Source organism: Homo sapiens, chromosome 22, assembly GCF_000001405.40.
Source record: "Homo sapiens chromosome 22, GRCh38.p14 Primary Assembly".
NCBI classification, from domain to species: domain Eukaryota; kingdom Metazoa; phylum Chordata; class Mammalia; order Primates; family Hominidae; genus Homo; species Homo sapiens.
This window is the reverse complement of record NC_000022.11, coordinates 41,399,945-41,423,294: the sequence shown is the minus strand read 5'-3', so window position 1 is coordinate 41,423,294 and position 23,350 is coordinate 41,399,945. Positions and strand designations below refer to the sequence as shown.

The 23,350-nt window shown below is 52.8% G+C and overlaps 8 annotated features.

The window, feature by feature from the left end:
- Window positions 8,150-8,863: an enhancer, noted in NCBI's record as "H3K4me1 hESC enhancer chr22:41810436-41811149 (GRCh37/hg19 assembly coordinates)". NCBI's record gives its function as "activates a minimal SCP1, AML or CMV promoter by ChIP-STARR-seq in primed H9 embryonic stem cells {active_cell/tissue: H9 hESC(primed)}" and the evidence as "EXISTENCE:reporter gene assay evidence [ECO:0000049][PMID:30033119]".
- Window positions 8,864-9,578: an enhancer, noted in NCBI's record as "NANOG-H3K27ac-H3K4me1 hESC enhancer chr22:41809721-41810435 (GRCh37/hg19 assembly coordinates)". NCBI's record gives its function as "activates a minimal SCP1, AML or CMV promoter by ChIP-STARR-seq in naive H9 embryonic stem cells {active_cell/tissue: H9 hESC(naive)}" and the evidence as "EXISTENCE:reporter gene assay evidence [ECO:0000049][PMID:30033119]".
- Window positions 8,864-9,649: a biological region, named in NCBI's record as "NANOG-H3K27ac-H3K4me1 hESC enhancer GRCh37_chr22:41809721-41810435".
- Window positions 9,200-9,649: a silencer, noted in NCBI's record as "silent region_13789". NCBI's record gives its function as "represses an Ori minimal core promoter by ATAC-STARR-seq in GM12878 lymphoblastoid cells {active_cell/tissue: GM12878}" and the evidence as "EXISTENCE:reporter gene assay evidence [ECO:0000049][PMID:35858748]".
- Window positions 9,579-10,293: an enhancer, noted in NCBI's record as "NANOG-H3K27ac-H3K4me1 hESC enhancer chr22:41809006-41809720 (GRCh37/hg19 assembly coordinates)". NCBI's record gives its function as "activates a minimal SCP1, AML or CMV promoter by ChIP-STARR-seq in naive H9 embryonic stem cells {active_cell/tissue: H9 hESC(naive)}" and the evidence as "EXISTENCE:reporter gene assay evidence [ECO:0000049][PMID:30033119]".
- Window positions 14,894-14,943: a silencer, noted in NCBI's record as "silent region_13788". NCBI's record gives its function as "represses an Ori minimal core promoter by ATAC-STARR-seq in GM12878 lymphoblastoid cells {active_cell/tissue: GM12878}" and the evidence as "EXISTENCE:reporter gene assay evidence [ECO:0000049][PMID:35858748]".
- Window positions 20,683-20,827: an enhancer, noted in NCBI's record as "145 bp enhancer 178 fragment used in the MPRA reporter construct; PK_construct_2035". NCBI's record gives its function as "activates an SV40 promoter by MPRA in HepG2 cells {active_cell/tissue: HepG2}" and the evidence as "EXISTENCE:reporter gene assay evidence [ECO:0000049][PMID:23512712]".
- Window positions 20,748-20,761: a transcriptional cis regulatory region, noted in NCBI's record as "HNF4 motif; enhancer activity is reduced when this motif is scrambled". NCBI's record gives its function as "necessary for full MPRA enhancer 178 activity {active_cell/tissue: HepG2}" and the evidence as "EXISTENCE:site-directed mutagenesis evidence [ECO:0005528][PMID:23512712]".

Sequence of the window (23,350 nt, the reverse complement as noted above, 5' to 3'; positions counted from 1 at the left end):
TTTTGAGATGTAATTTTGCTCTGTCGCCCAGGCTGGAGTGCAATGGTGCCATCTTGGCTTACTGCAATCTCTGTCGCCCAGGTTCAAGTGATTCTCTTGCCTCAGCCTCCCAAATAGCTGAGATTACAGGCACACACCACCAAGCCCAGCTAAACCACAAAAACCTTTTTAAAAATTAAGCCAGGTATGGTGCCTACCTGTAGTCCCAGATACTTCAGAGGCTGAGCGGGGAGGATCACCTGAGCCCAGAAGATCGAGGGTGCAGTGAACCATGATCGTACCGCTGCACTCCACCCTGGGGAATCGAGTGAGTCCCTGTCTCAAAGAAAAATAAAATACTTATATGCAAATGTTCATACCAGCGTTATTTGTTATGGCCCCAAACTGGAAACACCCAAATGTCCTTCAATGGGTGAATGGTTGAACCAATGGTGGCACATTTATACTATGGACTACTATTCGTGATGAAAATAAATGAACTACTGACACACACAACATGGCTGAATCTCAAAATAATAATGCTGAGTAAAAGCCACACCAATAAAAAATTTGTTTTTTAAGACGGAGTCTCACTCTGTTACCCAGGCTGGAATGCAGTGGCGTAATCTCAGCTCACTCACTGCAACCTCCACCTCCCAGGTTCAAGTGACTCTCCTGCCTCAGCTTCCTGAGTAGCTGTGACTACAGGCACACAACACCATGCATGGCTAATTTTTGTATTTTTAGTACAGATGGGGTTTCAACATGTTGGCCAGGCTGGTCTCGAACTCCTGACCTCAGGTGAACTGCCTGCCTTGGCCTCCCAAAGTGCTGGAATTACAGGTGTGTGTTACCATGCTCTGCCAAAAAAAAAATTTTTTTTTTGAGACGGTGTCTTGTTCTTGTTGCCCAGGCTGGAGTGCAATGGCTCAATCTCAGCTCACTGCAACCTCCGCCTCCCAGGTACAAGTGATTCTCCTGCCTCAACCTCCCAAGTAGCTCAGATTACAGGCATGTGCCACCATGCCTGGCTAATTTTTTTGTATTTAGTAGAGACTGGGTTTCACCATGTTAGTCAGGCTGGTTGTGAACTCCTGACTTCAGGTGATCCACCTGCCTCATCCTCCCAAAGTGCTGGGATTACAGGTGTGTGCCACCGCGCCTGGCCCAAAAAAAAAATTTTTTTTTTTTTTGAGATGGAGTCTCTCTCTGTCATCCAGGCTGGAGTGCAGTGGCGCTATCTTGGCTCACTGGAAGCTCTGCCTCCCGGGTTCATGCCATTCTCCTGCCTCAGCCTCCTGATTAGCTGGGACTACAGGCGCCCGCCACCATGCCCGGCTTATTTTTTGTATTTTTTAGTAGAGACGGAGTTTTACCGTGTTAGCCAGGATGGTCTTGATCTCCTGACCTCGTGATCCACCCTCCTCAGCCTCCTAAAGTGTTGGGATCACAGGTGTGAGCTACCATGCCTGGCTGAAAGCCACACCTTAAAAGAAAAATAAGTAGGTACTATCTGATTCCATTTATAGAAAATGCAAATTCACCTGTAGCGAAGGAAAGCAGATTAGTGGTTGCCTGGGGACACAAGGATGGCGGGGTCAAGCAGGAGGAATTTAAAAAGGGGAATATGTAATCCTAGCACTTTAGGAAGCCAAAGTGCTCAGGAGTTCAAGACCAGCCTGGGCAAGACAGTAAAACACCATTTCTACAAAAAATATAAAAATTAGGTGGGCGTGGTGGCACGTGCCTGTAGTCCCAGCTACTTGGGGGCTGAGGTGAAAGGATCACTTGCACCCGGGAGGTAAAGGCTGCAGTGAACTGAGATCAAGCCACTGCACTTCAGCCTGGGCAACAGAGTGAGACCCTGTCTCAAAAAATAATAATAAAATTTTTTTAAAATGGCAGGGAATAACGAAACTTGGAGGTGAGAGATATAGTCATTACCTTGATCGTAGTGATGCTTTCATGGGTATACAAAATTTATCAAATTATAATTTTATTTATTTTATTTTTGAGACTTTCACTCTTGTTGTCCAGGCTGGAGTGCAATGGTGTGATCTCGGCTCACTGCAACCTCCGCCTCCCAAGTTCAAGCAATTCTACTGCCTTAACCTCCCAAGCACCTGGGATTACAGACATGTGCCACCACACCCAACTAATTTTGTATTTTTAGAAGATTTTCAGGGTTTCACCATGTTGGTCAGGCTAGTCTTTTAACTCCTGACCTCAGTTGATCCGCCCATCTTAGTCTCCCAAAGTGCTGGCATTACAGCATGAGCCACCGCGCCCAGCCAATTTTATTTATTTTAAAATATTTAAGGCCGGGCGTGGTGGCTCACACCTGTAACCCCAGCCCTTTGGGAGGCTGAGGTGGGAGGATCACGAAGTCAGGAGATCGAGACCATCCTGGCTAACACGGTGAAACCCCGTGTCTACTAAAAATACAAAAAATTAGCTGGAAGCGATGGCGGGCGCCTGTAGTCACAGCTACTCGGGAGGCCGAGGCAGGAGAATGGCGTGAACCTGGGAGGCGGAGCTTGCAGTGAGCCAAGATAGCGCCACTGCACTCCAGCCTGGGCAAAAGAGCGAGACTCTGTCTCAAAAAAAAAAAAAAAATTAAAATATTTTAAAATATTTAAAATGTACATATATATAATATATATATATTTTTTTTGAGACAGAGTCTCACACTGTTGCCCAGGCTGGAGTGCAGTGGCGCGATCTTGGCTCACTGCAAGCTTCGCCCACCACCACGCCCAGCTAGTTTTTGAATTTTTAGTAGAGACAGGGTTTCACTATGTTAGCCAGGATGCTCTTGATCTCCTGACCTTGTGATCCACCCGCCTTGGCCTCCCAAAGTGCTGGGATTACAGGTGTGAGCCACCACGCCCAGCCTATACCTATATATTTTAATTTAAGATGGGGGTCTTGCTCTATCACCCAGGCTGGAGTGCAGTGGCATAATTATACCTCACTGCAGCCTGGAACTCCCAGGCTCAGGAGATCCTCTCACCTCAGCCTCCCAAGTAACTGGCACTACATACAGGTCAGGTGTGCACCACAGCGCCTGGCTCAAATCATAATTTTTTTTTTTGAGACAGACTTTTGCTCTTGTTGCCCAGGCTGGAGTGCAATGATGCCATCTCGGCTCACTGCAACCTCTGCCTCCTGGGTTCAAGCGATTCTCCAGCGTTAGCCTCCCTAGTAGCTGGGATTACAGGCATGTGCCATCAGTCCTGGCTAATTTTTTTGTATTTTTAGTAGAGACAGGGTTTCACCATGTTGGTCAGGCTGGTCTCGAACTCCTGACCTCAGATGATCTGTCTACCTTGGCCTCCCAAAGTGCTGGGATTACAGGCGTGAGCCACTGCACGCAGCCCCGAATTACAATTTTTGAGTATGTATAGTATATTGTATGTCAATCATTCCTCAAGCTATTAAAAAAGAAAAACAAAGCAGCCGCTCAGACTTACTGGAACGACGGAAACGCCCAACCAACATTCATGGTTCACTCAATTAATATTTACTGAGCCCCTACTATGTGCTAGAGTCTGTTCTCAGCACTGGAGTCGCAGCAGAATCAAAAGTCCCTGCCCTTGCCAGCCTTACTAATTCTGGTGGGCAAGATAAACAATAAATATAAGGAAACGAGAAATCCATGTGGAGATTTGTCCTCAGGGAAACAAACCAGCTGTCCTCTACAAGGGTGGAGGTCAGGGAGGCTGTTTCTGAGTAGGCAGTAAACTGAGACCTGGAACATACAAAGGAACCCTTTTTTTCTTTTTTTTTCTTTTTTTTTGAGACGGAGTCTCACTCTGTCGCCCAGGCTCCCGAGTAGTTGGGACTACAGGTGCCCACCACCATGCCCAACTAATTTTTTATATTTTTTAGTAAAGACAGGGTTTCACTGTGTTAGCCAGGATGGTCTTGATCTCCTGACCTCATGATCCACCCGCCTTGGCCTCCCAAAGTGCTGGGGTTACAGGCGTGAGCCAACGCGCCTGGCCTTTTTTTTCTTTTTTTTTTTTTGAGATGGAATTTCATTCTTGTTGCCCAGGCTGGAGTGCAATGGCGTGATCTCGGCTCACCGCAAGCTCTGCCTCCTGGGTTCAAGCGATTCTCCTGCCTCAGCCTCCTGAGTAGCTGGGATTAGAGGCATGCACCACCATGCCCGGCTAATTTTATATTTTTTAGTAGACATTTGGTTTCTCCACATTGGTTGGGCTGGTCTCAAACTGCCGACCTCAGGTGATCCACCCACCTCGACCTCCCAAAGTACTGGGATTACAGGTGTGAGCCACCGCGCCCGGCCGAGGCGCTCTTTATTTATTTATACAGAGATAGGATCTGGCTCTGTTGCCCAGGCTGGAGTGCAGTGGCGGGATGATGGCTCACTGCAACCTCAACTTCCCAGGCTCAGGTGATCCTTCCACCTCAGCCCTCTGAGTAGCTGGGATTACAGGTATGTGCCACCACGCCACCCTAATTTTTGTAGAGATGAGGTTTCACCATGGTGCCCAGGCTGGTCTCAAACTCCTGGGTTCAAGGGATCTTGCCACCTTGGTCTCCCAAAGTACTGGGATCACAGGCATGAACCACCACCCCTTTCCCTGAGACTGTTCCCCCACCCTTACTTTTCTCCGCTCCTCAGCCCCTTCCCGCAGAGTCTCAGCTCATGGCTGTGTGGTTTTGTGTGAATCCCACTCTCTCTATGCAGTTCAGTTTTCTTATCCATAAAGATGGGAGACAAGGCTGTGTCCAGCTCACCTGGGCACTGGGCTCCCACACAGCTGACTCTCTGTGTAAGGGGGCCTCTCCCCTTGGCTCAGCTGGCATTTTGGGACACGCAGAGCAAACATGCCAAGGGCAGAAAAACAGGCATCTCAGGAGCCCAGCTGGCTTGTCCTGAGGAGCATCCTGGGGAGTCTGTCCCCTGGGACTAGTGGTATCTCTGCAGAGACAGCAGGGCTTGGAGTGGGGCACCCCTCCTAACTAGGGATCAAAGTAAGGCGGGAGGAGCTGAGGCACTGCCCTCAGAGCTGCTTCCGTGAGGGCAGCTCTGTCCCGCTCATACCAGGGCTGGGGATAGGCCAAGTTGGCCCGAGGCCCAGAGGGACAGGGAGGGAGGTCAGCGCCACAGTTGGGGATGGGCCTGCTTGGCCCTCTCTCTGGACACAATGTCCTGGACTGCTCCACAGCTTGGCTGGCCAACAGGGAACAGTGGCTGGCAGAGGGCACGGGCAGCCAGCCGACTGGAGGCAGGCGGCCCAGCCTGAGCAAAGGGCTTGTTCTTACAACCTGTCCTGCCACCTTGGGCAAGGAGAGGGCCAGCTTTCTGGAGGCAGGGAACCTCAGCAGTCACTCGCTTCCTCTTGCCTCAGTTTCCCCAGATCATGAACAACTGCCATCATTTGAGCTAAGTTCTACAAGAATGCCGAATCTTACAAATGCTGGCTTAGCACCTTGCTGGCTGTGTGACCTTGGCCAGGACACCATTCTGAAACCCAGATCTTCACTGGGCGTGAATGCATGCGCAGCATTTAGGACAGTAACCCTCACACAGAAAGTGCTTAATGGGTAAAGTATGCTAGTACTGCCACATTAATAAGCAATAATAACATTTATTTATTAAGAGCATCCTGTGTGCCAAGAATTTCATCTGTATTGTCCCAAATACTGGCGGCAACCTGGTAGACATGTCTTAATACCCTCGCTTTATTTTTTATTTATTTATTTTATTATTGACTTGAGACAGGGTCTTTCTCTGTCACCCAGGCTAGAGTGCAGTGGCACAATCATGACTCACTGCAGCCTTGACTTCCTGAGTTCAAGCGATCCTCCTACCTCAGCCTCCCAAGTAGCTGGGACCACAGGTCTGCACTACCACGCCTGGCTGATTTTTTTATTTTTGATAGAGAAGGGGTTTCCCTATGTTGTCCAGGATGGTCTCAAAACTCCTGAGCTCAAGCCATCTGCCTGCCTCGGTCTCCCAGAGTGCTGGGATTACAGGCGTGAGCTACCGTGCCCGGCCAACACTGTGATTTTTTATTTTTATTATTTATTTATTTATTATTTTACTTCATTTTATTTATTTATTTTGAGACGAAGTCTAGCTCTGTCACCCAGGGTGGAGTGCAATGGCGTCATCTCGGCTCACTGCAACCTCCGCCTCCCAACTTCAAGTGATTCTCCTGCTTCAGCCTCCTGAGTAGCTGGGACTACAGGCAAACACCACCACACCTGGCTAATTTTTGTATTTTTAGTAGAGATGGGGTTTCACCATGTTGGCCAGGATGGTCTCAATCCCTTGATCTCGTGATCCACCCACCTCAGCCTTCCAAAGTGCTGGGATTACAGGCGTGAGGCGCTGTGCCCGACTATTTTATTTTTTCGAGATGGAGTCTCACTCTGTCACCCAGGCTGGAGGGCAATGGCATGATCTCCGCTCACTGCAAACTCTACCTCCCGGGTTCAAGCGATTCTCGTGCCTCAGCCTCCTGAATTACAGGCATGCATCACCATGCCCGGCTAATTTTTGTATTTTTATTTATTTATTTTTGAGACGGAGTTTCGCTCTTGTTGCCCAGGCTGGAGTGCAATGGCCCAGTCTCGGCTCACCGCAACCTCTGCCTCCCGGGTTCAAGCAATTCTCCTGCCTCAGCCTCCCAAGTAGCTGGGATTACAGGTACCCGCCACCACCCCCGGCTATTTTTGTATTTTTAGTAGAGACAGGGTTTCTCCATGTTGGTCAGGGTGGTCTTGAACTTCTGACCTCAGGTGATCCGCCCGCCTCGGCCTCCCAAAGGGCTGAGATTACAGGCATGAGCCACTGTGCCCGGCCTAATTTTTGCATTTTTAGTAAAGATAGGGTTTCACCATGTTGGCCAGGCTGGTCTCGAACTCCTGACCTTGGGTGATCCACCCACCTTGACCTCCTAAAGTGCTGGGATTACAGGTGTGAGCCACTGCGCCCAACCAACACTGTGATTTTTTTTTTTTTTTTTGGAGACAGAATCGCTCTGTCACCCAGGCTGGACTGCAATGGTGCAATCTCGGCTCACTGCAAGCTCCGCCTCCCGGGTTCACGCCATTCTCCTGCCTCAGCCTCCTGAGTAGCTGGGACTACAGGTGCCCGCCACCACTCCCGGCTAATTTTTTGCATTTTTAGTAGAGACGAGGTTTCACCGTGTTAGCCAGGATGGTCTCAATCTCCTGACCTCATGATCTGCCCGCCTCGGCCTCCCAAAGTGCTGGGATTACAGGTGTCAGCCACCGCGCCCAGCCCCCAGTACTGTGATTTTATAGGTGAGGAAACTGAGCTCCAAGAAGCAAAGTGACAAGTCTGAAGCCAAACCGCTAATACTACGGGGCTGAGTGGCTCACCAGGTGGGAACCCAGCCTCCTCCCTAGGCACACGGTACAAGCCTGTTGGGTGGACCCTGGGGGGTTCCTGAAGGCTGAGGCTGAACCAAGCAGGGGCCAAGGGGTTTCTTGGAACTCAGCAGCGGAACCAGCCATCTGGCCTCCCACAGGATGCTGCTGGCACAGTCTAGACTCAGACCAAGGCACATGAGCCAAGGTGCCCAAGGAGGACTGAGAAGGGCAGTGAGAGGGAAGGATTCATTCATTCATTTGCATTTATTAATTCAGCAAACAAAAAATTGAAGGCAATAGTTTGGTGCCACACACAGGCTCGGCAACCAGACTTTGAACATAAGACACTGTCACTTGCCAGGTGTGTATCCTGGAGATAGGGTAACTCCCAGTTTTCCCAGTAAAGCCTGAGTCCCCTCAGTTTCCAGCAAACCAGGATGACTGGTTACCCTGCCTGGAAGAGCGACTCCCCCTCTTGGTTTCCTCAATTGTCAAAGGCGAGGCTGGTGCCGTGTGGCCTGGACACTAATTCTCCTCTCATATGTTTGCTCAAAGGTAAAATGAGGCCGGGTATGGTGGCTCACGCCTGTAATCCCACCACTTTGGGAGGCTGAGGCGGGTGGATCACTTGAGGTCAAGAGTTAAAGACCAGCCTGGCCAACATGGCAAAACCCCATGTCTACTAAAAATACAAAAATTAGCCGGGTGTGGTGGTACATACCTATAGTCCCAGCTACTAGAGAGGCCGAGGCAGGAGAATCGCTTGAACCCGGGAGGTGGCGGTTGCAGTGAACCGAGGTCGCACCACTGCACTCCAGCCTGGGTGACAGAGCAAGACTCTGTCCTCAAAAAAAAAAAAAAAAAAAAAAAAAAAGGTAAAATGAGCATAAAGCCCTGGGCTTATGTCCAAGCCAATTTGTGGGAGTAGGGAAAGTGACATTTCATCTCATGCTGGCAGGGGCCAAGCAGGAGGGAAGGGAAGGAGGTATGATATCTATGCCCAAGGAAGAGATGAAGAGACTGAGGTTCCCAGTGTCTGAGGAGCTCAGAGAAGGCCTGGGCAGATACCTTCCTCATCTCACAGCTTGCTCTTCCTAGATGCTCAAAACAGGTTCTGGGTGAGCTACCTTAGTAAGACCATGAATGGGACCGCAAGGGACCCTCAGGTGCTCCCAGGGTCTTGTAAGGAAGGTGACAGGGAAGCACCCACTCCCCACCATCACCAGGCCACAGAACACCAGCCATTCTGCAGCTGCTGAGCCACAGGGCAGGCCTGCACCGCATGCTCCCAGGGCAAAGGCCAAGGTCCACAGGGAGCTGACTGGCCCAGCTGGGCACCACCTAACCAGGCCCAGGTCTGGCGCTGTGGCAGGCCCCTGGCAGGGAGGGTTAGATAAGGAGAGTTCACAGCTACCTGGCTAAGTACTCACCGGGTGTCGACATGCTGCTGTTCTTCCCCACCACACTAGAAGGAAGGGGCCATTTTAGACAGGTGGGGACACTGAGGTTCGGAGAGGCAAAATCTGCCTAAGGTCACCCAGAGGAAGGTGGAGAAACCAACCCCTACTGAGCGTCACTGCCCGACTTTATAATTTAAGGCACATGGTGGCCCAGGCACAAATGTGGGTGGAGCGGCCACAGAAGACTCCAGAGCCCCCAGAGTCCAGGCCAGGAAGGAAGAACGCGGTAGACAGGAGGAAGCCGAGTCCCCCAGGCGGAGCTGGGGCTCCCTTCGCAGTCTGGGCTCCCCTAGGGACCCAAGAATCCTAACGAGGACGGTCACAGCCACTCCCGCGGGCACTACCCGCCGTGCTCTGCTGGAGAAGGGCCTCAGTTTCCCTTTGGGCGCAAAGCGGAACGCGGAGGCGCTGCGGCAGGCGAGGCGGCGCTGGAGGAGGAGGCCGGGCCCGCGAGGAAAGGCGGGGAGGGGGGTTACGTAACGGGCTGCGCGGCGACGTCAGCGCGGGTCGCGGAGGGCAGCGGGGGGCGCCCCCTCCCTGAATAGCTGGGCTGTTCACTCCTGGTGACACCAGCGCGGCCCCCTCCGCGCCCGCCGTGCCGGCCGCCGCGCCAACCGGGACCGGGGGAGGGTAGGACACCTGCCGGGAGCGAGTCCCGGGCTGACTCCCCAAGGCCGCGCGGGGTGTGGAGAGGAGCCGGGGTGGGGCCTCTCGCCTCCGGCGTCCGCCGGGTGGGCGGCCCCGACCGCTCTGCTGTCCCTTACGGCCCGCACGCCCTTTGCCCTCCCCGGGGACCTGGCATCTTCACATCTCCTGCCCCGCCTGGGCCGCAGCTTCGAGACCGCTGAGCCCTCCTCCTCCTTTTTCTCCTCCTCCTCTTCCTCCTCCTCGGACTTCACCTCCACCAGGGACTTCCGCCCTGGGGCCCGGCCGCGCGCTCTTCCCCACTGAGTGCGTCTTCCGCCCCCGAGGCCCCGCGGCTGCCCCCGCCGATTCTCGCGCCGACCTCACGCGGCGAGGCTGAGTGTTATTTTTATTGTTTTTATTTTTGCGATGGAGTTTCGCTTTTGTTGCCCAGGCTGGAGGGAAGTGGCGCGATCTCGGCTCACTGCAACCTCTCCCTCCCGAGTTCAAGCGATTCTCTTGCCTCAGCCTGCCGAGTAGCTGGGAATTACAGGCATGCGCCACCACGCCCGGCTAATTTTGTATTTTTAGTAGAAACGGGGTTTCTCCATATTGGTCAGGCTGGTCTCGAACTCCTCACCTCAGGTGATCTGCCCACCTCGGCCTCCCAAAGTGCTGGGATTACAGGCGTGAGCCACCGTGCCTGGCCGAGGCTGGGTGTTATTTATGTCCCCGTCTGTGTCTCCGCAGACAGAGCTCGGCCTAGAGGAGGCCGCGGCCCAGCGGCACACAGCCGGCGCGCAAGTGCGAGGCCAAGGCAGGAAGCCGCCGGCCCAGCCGCCTGCTTCCCAGGACCGAGGAGGCCCCTGGTCGAGGCTGGCTCACCTCACCCTTGGGAAAGCAACAGAGGACAGGAGGCAGCTGCCACCTAAGGTCATGGCCACCCACATCCCACCACACCGCGTTTGCTCTCCCTGTTTCCCCAGGTTAGGACATCATCGGGCGCTTCCATGTCGCCCCGGGAGGCTCCCCTAAAGCAAGGGCATGGCCACGGGGAGGCTGCTGAGCAAAGCTAATTCCGGAGTTCCACACCAGGCCTCTTGAGAGTGGGGCCTGGGCCTCTGCATTTGAAATGTGCTCTACCTTCAAGGCTTTGAGATGATTTGAGAACAGGGAGGGTTTTAGGGAAGAGAGCTAGCTGACAGCAGGCGATGGCAGGTGCAGGTGGGGACTGCGGCAGACTGGATTTGATGGGGCAGGCTGGAAAGACAGGGCAGACGAGGATGGACTGGGAGCCTTGGTCAGAGAATGGCCGGATCATGACCTTGGAGCACCATGCCCACCCGTACAGGTATCCCTTACTGCCTGCTAAGGGATACATTGGACCCTGTCCTCCAGCAACCCTGCAAAATGGGCCTTATTGTCCCTATTTTAAAGGCTCAGAGAGTGAGGCCGGGCGCAGTGGCTCACACCTGTAATCCCAGCACTCTGGAGGCCGAGGCAGGCAGATTGTTTTGAGTCCAGGAGCTCAAGACCAGCCTGGCCAACATAACAAAACCCCGCCTCTACTAAAAATACAAAAAATTAGCCGGGCATGGTGGCACGTGCCTGTAGTCCCAGCTACTCGGGAGGCTGAGGCAGGAGAATCACCTGAACCCAGGAGGTGGAGGCTGCAGTAAGCCGAGATTGCACCACTGCACTCCAGCCTGGACAACCAGAGTGAGACCCTGCCTCAAAATAATAATAATAAATAAATAAAAATCAAGGCTCAGAGAGGGGATGTGACTTGGACAAAGTCCCTGGTGAGGAGGGTACAGAAGAATCAGGACTCAGTTTAATTCCTCCATCCAGGCCCTAGCTAGACACTAGGCATGGAAAGATGAATAAAGTACACTTCCTGCCCTAAAAGAGTTGTTGGTACAGGAAGAGGGGCAGGCAGCAAACATATCACAATCGCAATCACAATCCTCATGGAGGTCTGATGGAGCAGTGAGGGCTCAGAGCTGAATTTTGAAGGATGAAGAGGAGTTACCCCGGAAGATTCGGGAGGGGCATCCCCGGCAGAGGGAACAGCTTGTTCCGCTGCTCAGAGGCCTGAAATAGCAATCGCTTGTAGGGATCTGTGAGCTCTTTGGTGAGACTGAGCTTAGAGTGTGTTGGTTTGGTGGGAGATGAGGCTTGATGTGCCCAGAGAGCGTTGGCCAGGCAAGGAGGCTGGATTTTGTCCACAGTGCAGTAAGAGTGTGAGCCCTGTGGAGGAGGGGTGAGCAGTAGGAGGGACCTGAAGGAGAAGAGCAGAGGCACAGGGCTCCCTCCTGCCCCTTCCCTGTATCTCCATGGCAACCCCTCTTTCCCCCACCCTGACTCTACCTTAGCTGTGGACCTGGCTCTCTATCAGCAGCTAAACTGGGGACTGTCAGGAGAGACCAGACCCCATTCTAGCTGGGCATGATGTGCTTGCTGTGTGGCCTGCAGCAGGCCACTTTGTCCCCTTGGGTCTTGGTTTTCTCTTCTGTAAAATGGGAGCAGCACTAATCCCTGCCCAGTCCCTCTGCGGGGTGAGTGAGGCGCAGAGGTGATGGCCAGGTGGGAGGGGCTTGTCTGCTGCACAGCCCCTGTCAGCACCTTGCTAGGCATTGGCTCAATTGGTGCATCCCCCAACCCCCATCCGGTCAAGCCTTCTCCCCAGTGATCCTCCCGACCATGCCCACCAGACTTTAGGAGAGGCTGGCACTTCTGGCTGGAGTCCTGAAGCTGCCATTTCTCTCAAAGCGGAGCCTCAGGCAAGTCCCTCTCTGGGCCTCAGTTTTCACAGATGCAATATAAATGATCCCAAGTGTCTAGTGGGGAGGAGGCCCTGGCAGCCTCTCTGCCCCAGGACAACCCAGGCCTGGTCCCTCTAAACACAAAGGAGGCCAGGCGTGGTGGCTCACACCTGTAATCCCAGCCCTTTCGGAGGCCAAGGCTTGCAGATCAGTTGAGGCCAGGAGTTCGAGATCAGCCTGGCCAACACAGTGAAACCCCATTTCTACTAAAAATACAAAAATTTAGCCGGGCGTGGTGGCACGCACCTGTAATCCCAGCTACTCGAAGGCTGAGGCATGAGAATGGCTTGAATCCAGGAGGCAGAGGTTGCAGTGAGCCAAGTTTGTGTCACCGCACTCCAGCCTGGACAACAGGGCAAGGCTCTGTCTCAAACACAGACACGCGCGCACACACACACACACACACACACACACAGCTCCCAGAGACAGAACAGGCAGATCAGGACCCTCTCTGCCCTACCCCCTGCCATGTCCCCTCTGCCACTCCCAGCCCCTGCCAGGGACATCCTGTGCTCCAATGATGTCACCAGGCCAACAGGATTTATTTTTATACTCCCAGGCCTTGGCCAGCTCCCTACCCCTCACGCATCCTACCCCATCTCACCCTACCTGCCCTGCTTCCCACATCCCGGCTGAGCCCCAGGCCGGTCCTTCAAAGCCTCTCCACACACACTCTGTTGCCCAACCTGCAGCACTCAGGCTTCTGAGAGGTTGTGGGGAGCCAGGTCACTGGCCAAGTGATCTTGGCCATTGGATTTGGACCTGCAGAAGTAAACAGATGGGCCCCTGGAGGTGGACCCCAGCTTCCCTGTGCCCCCAAGTGGGAGTCTGAAGCCCAGATGGCAGGAGGGCAAGGATCATCAGATGGGCTGTGTGAACACTTGGAGCCCCTGTCTGGGCCTTAGAGTTGTCACGAAAGCTTGCTTTGAATTCATTTTTTAAAAGCAGCTTTTTGTCTGGAAGCTTCAAGTCTTTCTTCATATCAATGCAACACAGACAACTTCAGAGATAGACTGGGTGCTGGGGTAGCTCAGCATCCTGGCCTTCACCCACACCCTGGGCAGGGTGTGTGTCCATCACAGATGTTACACACTTACCCTCTGGAGTGACTTTAGACTAATGATCTGTCCCCATCTTCAGCTTAGAAATTTATGCTGATGAAACACCCATTTTATGTGTTTCATATGTTGGCCTTCTGGATAAGATTATGGGTGAAAATGATGTTCTACTTCAAAAAACCATTTGAAAATGGCAACCTTGGCTCTTCTATCCTCATAGCTGCCCTGGAAAGCTGGGCAAGGACGAGAGGACCAGAATCCTCTTTTCTTTTTTTTTTTCTTTTTTTTTTTTTGCTCTTGTTGCCCAGGCTGGAGTGCAATGGCACGATCTCAGCTCACTGCAACCTCCACCTCCCGGTTCAAGTGATTCTCCTGCCTCAGCCTCCCAAATAGCTGGGATTAGCCACTATGCCCAGCTAATTTTTGTATTTTTAATAGAGATGGGGTTTCACCATGTTGGCCAGGCTGGTCTCGAACTCCTGACCTCAGGTGATCCGCCCAACTCGGCCTCCAACAGTGCTGGGATTACAGGCATGAGCCACCACTTCCAGCCCTGAATCCTTTTTTTTTTTTTTTTTTTTTTTTTTTTCAGATGGAGTCTTGCTCTGTCGCCCAAGCTGGAGTGCAGTGGTGCAATCTTGGCTCACTGCAAGCTCCACTTCCCGAGTTCACACCATTCTCCTGCCTCAGCCTCCCAAGTAGCTGGGACTACAGGCTCCTGACACCACGCCCGGCTTATTTTTTGTATTTTTCGTAGAGATGGGGTTTCACCGTGTTAGCCAGGATGGTCTCGATCTCCTGACCTCATGATCCGCCCACCTCGGCCTCCCAAAGTGCTGGGGTTACAGGCGTGAGCCACCGTGCCTGGCCCTGCACTGCACTCCAGCCTGAGCGACAGAGTGAGACTCCATCTCAAAAACAAAACAAAACAAAAAATGGGAAACTAAGGCTCAAAGGGGAGGAGTGACCCAGAGAGTGGCCGTGGCTAGAATGCGGGGTGTGTCTATCCTCCAGCCCCACGAGAGGTGAGATTGACTTACCTTGCCCAGCCCAGCCCAGCCCAGCCCAGCCAGCCAGAGTTGGCAGTCCTTTTTCTTTTTTCTTTTTTGAGACGGAGTCTCGCTCTGCTGCCCAGGCTGCCCAGGTTGGAGTGCAGTGACACGATCTCAGCTGAGCTCACTGCAACATCCACCTCTCAGGCCCAAGCAATTCTCGTGCCGCAGCATCCTGAGTAGCTGGGACTACAGGTACCCACCACCACACCTGGCTAAGTTTTTGTGTTTTAGCAGAGAAGAGATTTCACTATGTTGTCCAGCATGATCTTGAACTCCTGAGCTCAGGCAATTCACATGCCTCAGCCTCCCAAAGTGCTAGGATTATAAGCGTGAGCCACTGTGCCCGGCTAGAATTTCCATTTCTTGATAGTTCAGTTCAGTGCAACACAGAGAATAAAAGCACAGACTCTGGACCCAGATAGATCTCAGTTTGAGTCTGCCTGTAACATTTCTTAGCTATGTGATCTTGGGCTACTCACTTCACCTCTCTGTGCCCTAGTTTTCTTTTCTTTTTTTTTTTTTTTTTTTTTTGAGACAGGGTCTCGCTCTGTCGCCCAGGCTGGAGTGCAGTGGCACCATCTCGTCACTGCAAGCTCCGCCTCCTGGGTTCACGCCATTCTCCTGCCTCAGCCTCCCGAGTAGCTGGGACTACAGACACCTGCCACCACGCCCGGCTAATTTTTTTGTATTTTTAGTAGACATGGGGTTTTACTGTGTTAGACAGGATGGTCTCGATCTCCTGACCTCGTGATCAACGCGCCTCGGCCTCCCAAAGTGCTGGGATTACAGGTGTGAGCCACCGCACCTGGCCGCTGTGCCCTAGTTTTCTCACCTGTGAAATGCGATTTATAATAAGATGTAACTCACAAAGGGTTGTGGGAAAGACAGTTTGAGAAAATGCTTGAAAAGCACTTAGCAGACTGGGCGTGGTGGCTCACGCCTGTAATCCCAGCGCTTTGGGAGGCTGAGGCAGGTGGATCACAAGGTCAGGAGTTCGAGACCAGCCTGGCGAACGTGGTGAAACCCCACCTCTACTAAAAATACAAAAATAGTCTGCTACCACCACCACCACTACCGCTCCTCTTATCTCCCCAGGGGACATAGTGACCCTTGAGTCAAAAGAGCAAGAGCCAGGTTTGTTACTCAAGGGCAGGAGCCAAGAAAGAAAGTGCCTAGGCCCCCTTACTAAGCCCACACTCCAGCCGTGTCAACAGAAAGTTCACCAGAGCTGGGTTCAAATCCTACTTACTGGGTGGTCTCAACCAAGTCACTTAATTGTTCTGAACCTGTTTTCCTATCTATAAAATGGATGTAAAGATACCGTAAAGGGCTGTTGTGAGGTTGAAATGAATGGGCATAGAAAGCATCTGCTGTCCTGGCACGGTATAGTTCATGCCTGTAATTCCAGCACTTTGGGAGGCTGAGGTGGGAGGATCACTTGAGCCCAGGAGTTTGAGACCAGCCTGGGCAACACAGGGAGACCCTCATCTCAATTAAAAAAAAAAATCTGGCCGGGTGTGGTGGCTCACGCCTATAATCCCAGCACTTTGGGAGGCGGAGGAAGGTGGATAGCTTTAGATCAGGAGTTCAAGACCAGCCCGACCAACATGATGAAACCCCGTCTCTATTAAAAATACAAAACTTGGTCAGGGGTGATGTCGGGCACCTGTAATCCCAGCTATCCAGGAGGCTGAGGGAGGAGAATCACTTGAACTCGGGAGGCGGAGATTGCAGTGAGCTGAGAGCTGAGATTGTGCCACTGCACTCCAGCCTGGACAACAGAGCAAGACTCTGTCTCAAAAAAACAAAAACTGACACAGTAAGTGCTCAATAATTACATGACCAGGCACGGTGGCTCACACCTGTTATCCCAGCACTTTGGGAGGCTGAGGCGGGCAGATCACTTGAGGTCAGGAGTTCGAGACCAGCCTGGCCGACATGGTGAAACCCCATCTCCACTAAAAATACAAAAAGTAGCTGTGTGTGGTGGCATGCGCCTGTAATCCCAGGTACTTGAGAGGCTAAGGCAGGAGAATCACTTGAACCCAGGAGGCAGAGGTTGCAGTGAGCCAAGATCACACCACTGCACTCCAGCCTGGGTGACAGAGTGAAACAGTCTCAAAAAATAAATTAATTAATTAAATAATCACATATCTTGAGCAGGAAAAGAGCCAGGCTGACTCTGTATGGGGAAGAGGGGAGGTGTTGGGCCCCTCCAGCTTAATCCCTGGACTCCCTTATGCTAAGGAAGTCCACAGCCTCCTTGACTACTCTGGCAGGAGTGAGAATAATGCTGTATGCCTCAGGGAAGCAGGGATCTAAATTCAAATGTATGTAAATATCATGCAAATCAGGAAGCACTGGGTCCTTCCAGGGGAGAGATGGAGAGAGAAGATCCAGTTACTAGGGACTGGGGATGGGGGTAGGGGGCTGGAACAGAAGCAGGGTACCCCAGAGCCTTCACAGGGCACTGCCCCAGCTGCCAATTGAGCAGCTGCCCCAGGCCCTGTGGGCCCCTCCTGGCATGGATATGAAACCTCCTGGGCCGGGTGCAATGGCTCACGCCTGTACTCCCAGCACTTTGTGAGGCCGAGGCGGGCGGATCACGAGGTCAGGAGATCGACACCATCCTGGCTAACATGGTGAAATCCCGTCTCTACCAAAAATACAAAAAAAAAAAAAAAAAAATTAGCCAGGTGTGGTGGTGGGTGCCTGTAGTCCCAGCTACTCGGGAGGCTGAGGCAGGAGAATGGCATGAACCCGGAAGGCAGAGCTTGCAGTGAGCCGAGATAGCACCACTGCACTCCAGCCTGGGCGACAGAGCAAGACTCCATCTCAAAAAAAAAAAAGAAAGAAAGAAACCTCCTGGTGCCCTGGGATCCGCGGACTCCTCGGTCAAGGTGAGAGAGTCCCTGGTGAGGACACACACAGACCCATTTGTGTACACATATGCTAACCCTGCCAGACGCAGTTGGACGCACACACATATACCCAGGAACAGTCACAGACACACATAGACACAATTGTACACACACTGAGACACAGGCACTCGGGCAACTCAGGCTCTGGGCCTCAGGGCAGGGGAGGCCCCAGAGATCTTGCCCCACTTGAAAAGGCAGTGCTGAGGCCCCAGGGGCCCCTGGTTTCCTGTCCACCCACCTTTTCCCCAACCCACACACACGGTACCTGCACACACCACCCCCACTCGAGGAGGCCCCTGAAAAAGCTCCCTCCTTGGCCTCATCCTGATATGGCAGGCCTGCTCCGTGCACCCCATGGGGTTCCAGTTCTTGCCCACATTTATTCTTTTTTTTTTTTTTTTGAGACGGCGTCTCGCTCTGTCGCCCAGTCTGGAGTGTAGTGGTGCAATCTCGGCTCACTGCAAGCTCTGCCTCCCAGGTTCACGCCATTCTCCTGCCTCAGCCTCCCGAGTAGCTGGGACTACAGGTGCCCGCCACCACGCCCAGCTAATTTTTTGTATTTTTTAGTAGAGATGGGGTTTCACCGTGTTAGCCAGGATGGTCTCGATCTCCTGACCTCATGATCCGCCCGCCTCAGCCTCCCAAAGTGCTGGGATTACAGGTATGAGCCACTGCACCCGGCCCATTTATTCTTTATTTATTTTAAAAAAAAATTTAACATTTATTTATTTATTTAGACAGTCTCGCTCTCGCCCAGGCTGGAGTGCAGTGGCACAATCTCGGATCACTGCAAGCTCTGCCTCCTGGGTTCACACCATTCTCCTGCCTCAGCATCCCGAGTAGTTGGGACTACAAGTGCTAATTTTTTGTTTTGTATTTTTAGTAGAAACGGGGTTTCACCGTGTTAGCCAGGATGGTCTCGATCTCCTGACCTTGTGATCTGCCCGCCTCAGCCTCCCAAAGTGCTGGGATTACAGGCACGAGCCACCGTGCCCGGCCCACTTTTTTTTATTTTTGAGCCAGAGTCTCTCTCTGTTGCCCAGGCTGGAGTGCAGTGGTGCAATCTCAGCTCACTGCAGCCTCTGACTCCCAGGTTCAGGTGATTCTGCTGCCTCAGCCTCCCGAGTAGCTGGGACTACAGGTGCCTGCCACCACACCTGGCTAATTTTTTTGTTATTGTTTTTGTTTTTGAGATGGAGTCTCACTCTTTGTCGCCCAGGCTGGAGTGCAGTGGTGCGATCTTGGCTCACTGAAACCTCTGCCTCACAGGTTTAAGCAATTCTCTGCTTCCCGAGTAGATGGAATTACAGGTGCGCACCACCACGCCCGGCTAATTTTTGCATTTTTAGTAGAGATGGGGTTTCACCATCTTGGCCAGGCTGGTCTTGAACTCCTAACCTCGTGATCCACCTGCCTCAGCCTCCCAAAGTGCTGGGATTACAGGCATGAGCCACCAGGCCTGGCCCCAATTTTTTTGTATTTTTAGTAGAGATGGGGTTTCACCATATTGGCCAGGATGGTCTTGAATTCCTGAGCTCAAGTGATCCGCTCATCTTGGCCTCTGAAAGTGCCACTGTGCCCAGTCTATTCTCTCTTTTTGACAGATGGGGAAACTGAGGCTCAGAGCCAGGCTTGTCAAAGGCATATGGAGGACTGGGGGTGGTGGGATACAAATTCAGGCAGCAGATAGACTCCAAGTCCGACGCCTCTGCAGAACCCCTCATCCCAGATGCCTGGCTGAGCTACCATCCCCACCCAACTCCCTCCACGTCCCCTCCCTCCCCAGAAAGAGCCTAGAAGCACAGGCCTTGGGCGGCAGCCAGCCCTCCCTTCCTCCCAGGCTTCTGTGCAAGCCCTTGGACCACGTATGCCAGTAGCCATTGGAGGGCAGGAGGGGCGGCGGCTGAGTCAGCTGGTGCCCACAGCACTGCCTGGCACGGAGGGCCCTGGAGGCTTTGCTGAGAGGACAGATCTGGAGGCTGGACCCGAGGTCACCGCCCAGGACGTGTCTACAGCTCCACCTGGTGGTGATACAACACCGCTGTCACACCCAGCTCTGGTGTTATCCTCCCCACAGCCAGGTCAGCAGATATTTGGGGAGCAGCTACTGCTGCTGCGCATGGGCAGGCCAGGCACTGAGAACAGAGCGAGGCTGAGGAGATGTGGGGGCACGCACTCCAGGCAGAAGGAACAGCAAGTGCAATGGCTCTGAAACAGGAAGGAGTTGGGAAGACCCAGGAGGAGCAAATGGGTTAAAGAACTAGACTTGGGTGCCAAGGATGGAGAGGAAGAAAGGCAAGGCTCGGTGGTTCACATCTGTAATCTCAGCACTTTGGGAGGCCAAGGTGAAAGGATCACTTGAGGCCAAGAGTTTGAGGCCAGCCTGGGCAATACAGTTAAGACCCTGTCTCTACAGGAAATTTTTTTTTTTTTTGAGACAGAGTTTCGCTCGTCACCCAGGCTGGAGTGCAATGGCATGATCTTGGCTCACTGCAACTTCCGCCTCCTGGGATCAAGCAATTCTTCAGCCTCAGCCTCCTGTGTAGCTGGGATTACAGGTGCCCGCCACCATGCCCAGCTAATTTTTGTATTTTTGTAGAGACAGGGTTTCACCATGTTGGCAAGGCTGGTCTCGAACTCCTTAACTCAGATGATCTGCCTGCCTTGGCCTCCCAAAGTGCTGGGATTACAGGCATGAGCCACTGCATCCAGCCCCATTTTGTGCTGGTATGAATAGAGATTTATTTCTGACAGCTCGGGAAGCCGGGAAGCCCAAGATCGAGGGCTGCATCTGGTGAGGGCCCTCTTGCTGTGTCATAACGTGGCAGAAGGCATCCCATGGTGAGAGGGAGCAAGAGCTCCAACGTGCAGCTTCAAGCTCTTTGTTTTTAAGATGGAGTTTCGCTCTTCTTGGCCAGGCTGAAGTGCAATGGCCCGATCTCGGCTCACCACAACCTCTGCCTCTCGGGTTTAAGCAATTCTCCTGCCTCAGCCTCCCAAGCAGCTGGGATTACAGGCGTGCGCCACCACGCTCAGCTAATTTTTGTCTTTTTAGTAGAGACGGGCTTTCTCCATGTTGGTCAGGCTGGTCTTGAACTCCCAACCTCAGGTGATCTGCCCGCCTTAGCCTCCCAAAGTGCTGGGATGACAGGCATGAGCCACCGCACCCAGCCACCTCAAGCTCTTTTATATCCATTCGTGAGGGTGGAGGCCTTACGATGTAAACACCTTCCATTAAGACCCACCTCCCAACACTATTGCATTAGGGATTAAGTTTCCAACCCATATATTCTGGGGAGACATTCAAACCATAGCACCGTCCTGCGTGCTGTACGCTGGGAAGACATAAGAACAGTGAGGAATGGTGCACCGGGCCTTGTGCCTTAAGAGGGAGGGCCAGCTGGAGGCAACACACTGAGGCCCTTGTCCTGTCCCCTCTACCTCTGATCCTTGACCTTTGCCCCGTCCCCTCTACCTCCCTGTAGTCTGGACTTCCTGGAGTCAGCCTGAAATCCAGACCTGAGTGGACGCCCACTACTCTGTTTGGAGAAACCTATGGGACAGCTAGGCAGTGGCTTGCTGTGTGCCTAGCTCCTGATGACAGAGCTGCAGCTTAAAATAAAAGCCTCCTGCTCAGCACTTACTTAATCCTGAGGGGACCGGGCATCAGGACGCATGGTTGCGAGGATTTGCTTAAGTGAGAGGCTGATGAAAGCTCCCTGAGGGCTGGCTGGGGGGTTGGGGCACCCATCTTAAAACCTGTTTCTGATTTCCTTTGCTGCTCACCCCTATCTCTGGCTGGCAGCTTTCCCGGATTAGCTGCTGACGTCAGGAGCTGCCAGCTGGGCCAGCCTGGCACAGCCACGGGGCAGTGTGTGAAGGGCTGTCTGGTAATAGGGTGCAGTAAAGGAAGGGGGCATGTGTCCAGCTTCGGAATTTGTCCTTGAAGGAGCTGGGGTGGAGGGGAAGGAGAAGGGTCGAGATGTGCTGTCAGGCACGCACATGTGACCTGTGTAGCGCATCCTTGTTGGACAGAGAGAGAAACAGCTCAGGGAAATGGATAAGTTGTCCAAGACCACACAGCTGGTCTGACCCTGGCTGCATCCCACACCAGCTGGTAGACAACCCGCGATGGGCAGCAGCTGCTGGGACTGGAGGTGATGGTCTCCATGTAGGTCCGTACCTTCCTCTCTGTCACCATAATGGCAGCTGCTGAGTGGTGTTTGCCCTGCTCCAGGTGTCTTCGTGGGACAACTGTCTTATGAAGCTGGTGTTCGTTTTTGCTTTTGTTTTTTTTTTTTTGAGATGGAGTTTCGCCTTGTTGCCCAAGCTGGAGTGCAATGGCACTATCTCGGCTCACCGCAACCTCTGCCTCCTGGGTTCAAGTGATTCTCCTGCCTCAGCCTCCTGAGTAGCTGGGATTACAGGCATGTGCCACCATGCCTGGCTAATTTTGTATTTTTAGTAGACAGGGTTTCTCCATGTTGGTCAGGCTGGTCTCGAACTCCTGACTTCATGATCCACCTGCCTCGGCCTCCCAAAGTGCTGGGATTACAGGCGTAAGCCACCGCCCGGCCGCTGGTGTTCCATTCTACAGGTGAGAAACTGGAAGCCCAGAGAAGGGAAGTGACTTGCCCACGATCATACCCCAAATTGGTGATGGAGGCAGGGTTTGATCCTAGGACCGTCGGAGTCCAAAGCCAGTGCTCTGCCATACATACAGAGATTTCACAGCTTTGACATGTTTCAAGCCCATGCCCCTGTGCTTGCCGTGGCTGCACAGATCTCCGCTTTGAGAGAGCGCATTTGCATGCAGAGTAGAAAATACAGAGGGGGCCAGGCGCGGTGGCTCACACCTGTAATCCCAGCACTTTGGGAGGCCAAGGTGGGTGGATCACTTGAGGTCAGGAGTTCAAGACCAGCCTGGCCAGGCTGGGCACGCTGGCTCACGCCTGTAATCCCAGCACTTTGGGAGGCCGAGGTGGGACGATCACAAGGTCAGGAGATTGAGATCATCCTGGATGATACGGTGAAACCCCGTCTCTACTAAAAAATCAAAAAAAAAAAAAGTTAACTGGGCTTGGTGGCAGGCACCTGTAGTCCCAGCTACTTGGGGGAGGCTGAGGCAGGAGAATGGCGTGAACCCGGGAGGTGGAGCTTGCAGTGAGCCGAGATCACACCACTGCACTCCAGCCTGGGTGACTGAGCGATAGTCTCAAAAATAAATAAATAAAAATAAAAATATATATATAAAAGAAATATTTGCAGGCTGGGCGTGGTAGCTCATGCCAGTAATCCCAACACTTTGGGAGGCCGGAGGTAGGCGGATTGCCTGAGTTCGGGAGGCCGAGGCGGGCAGATTGCCTGAGCTCAGGAGTTCGAGACCAGCCTGGCCAACATGGTGAAACCCTGTCTCTACTAAAAATACAAAAAATTGGCCGGGTGTAGCAGCATGCGCCTCTAGTCCCAGCTACTTGGGAGGCTGAGGTGGAGAATCGCTTGAACCCGGGAGGCGGAGGTGCAGTAAGCCGAGATCCCACCACTGCACTCAAGCCTGGTGACAGAGCAAGACTCTGTCCCCCCCCCCAAAAAAAATTATAAATGTTTTATAGCCAAAGAACAGGAGAAAAGGAAAACCCTCAAGAGTCCCACCAAGAGGATCCAACTCTTTAGTCCTCTCGGTTTTTTTTGTTTTGTTTTGTTTTGTTTTGTTTTTGAGACAAGTGTCGCTCTATCGCCCAGGCTGGAGTGCAGTGGCGCAACCTTGGCTCATTGCAACCTCCACCTCCCAGGTTCAAGCAGCTCTCCAGCCTCTGCCTCCCAAGTGGCTGGGATTACAGGCCTGCACCACCATGCCCAGCTAATTTTTGTATTTTTAGTAGAGACAGGGTTTCACCATGTTGGCCAGGCTGGACTCAAACGGACTCAAACTCCTGACCTCAAGTGATCTGCCTGCCTCGGCCTCCCAAAGCACTTGGATTACAGGCGTGAGCCACCGTGCCTGTCCTTTCCTTTTTTTTTTTTTTTTTTTAGATGGAGTCTCGCTCTGCTGCC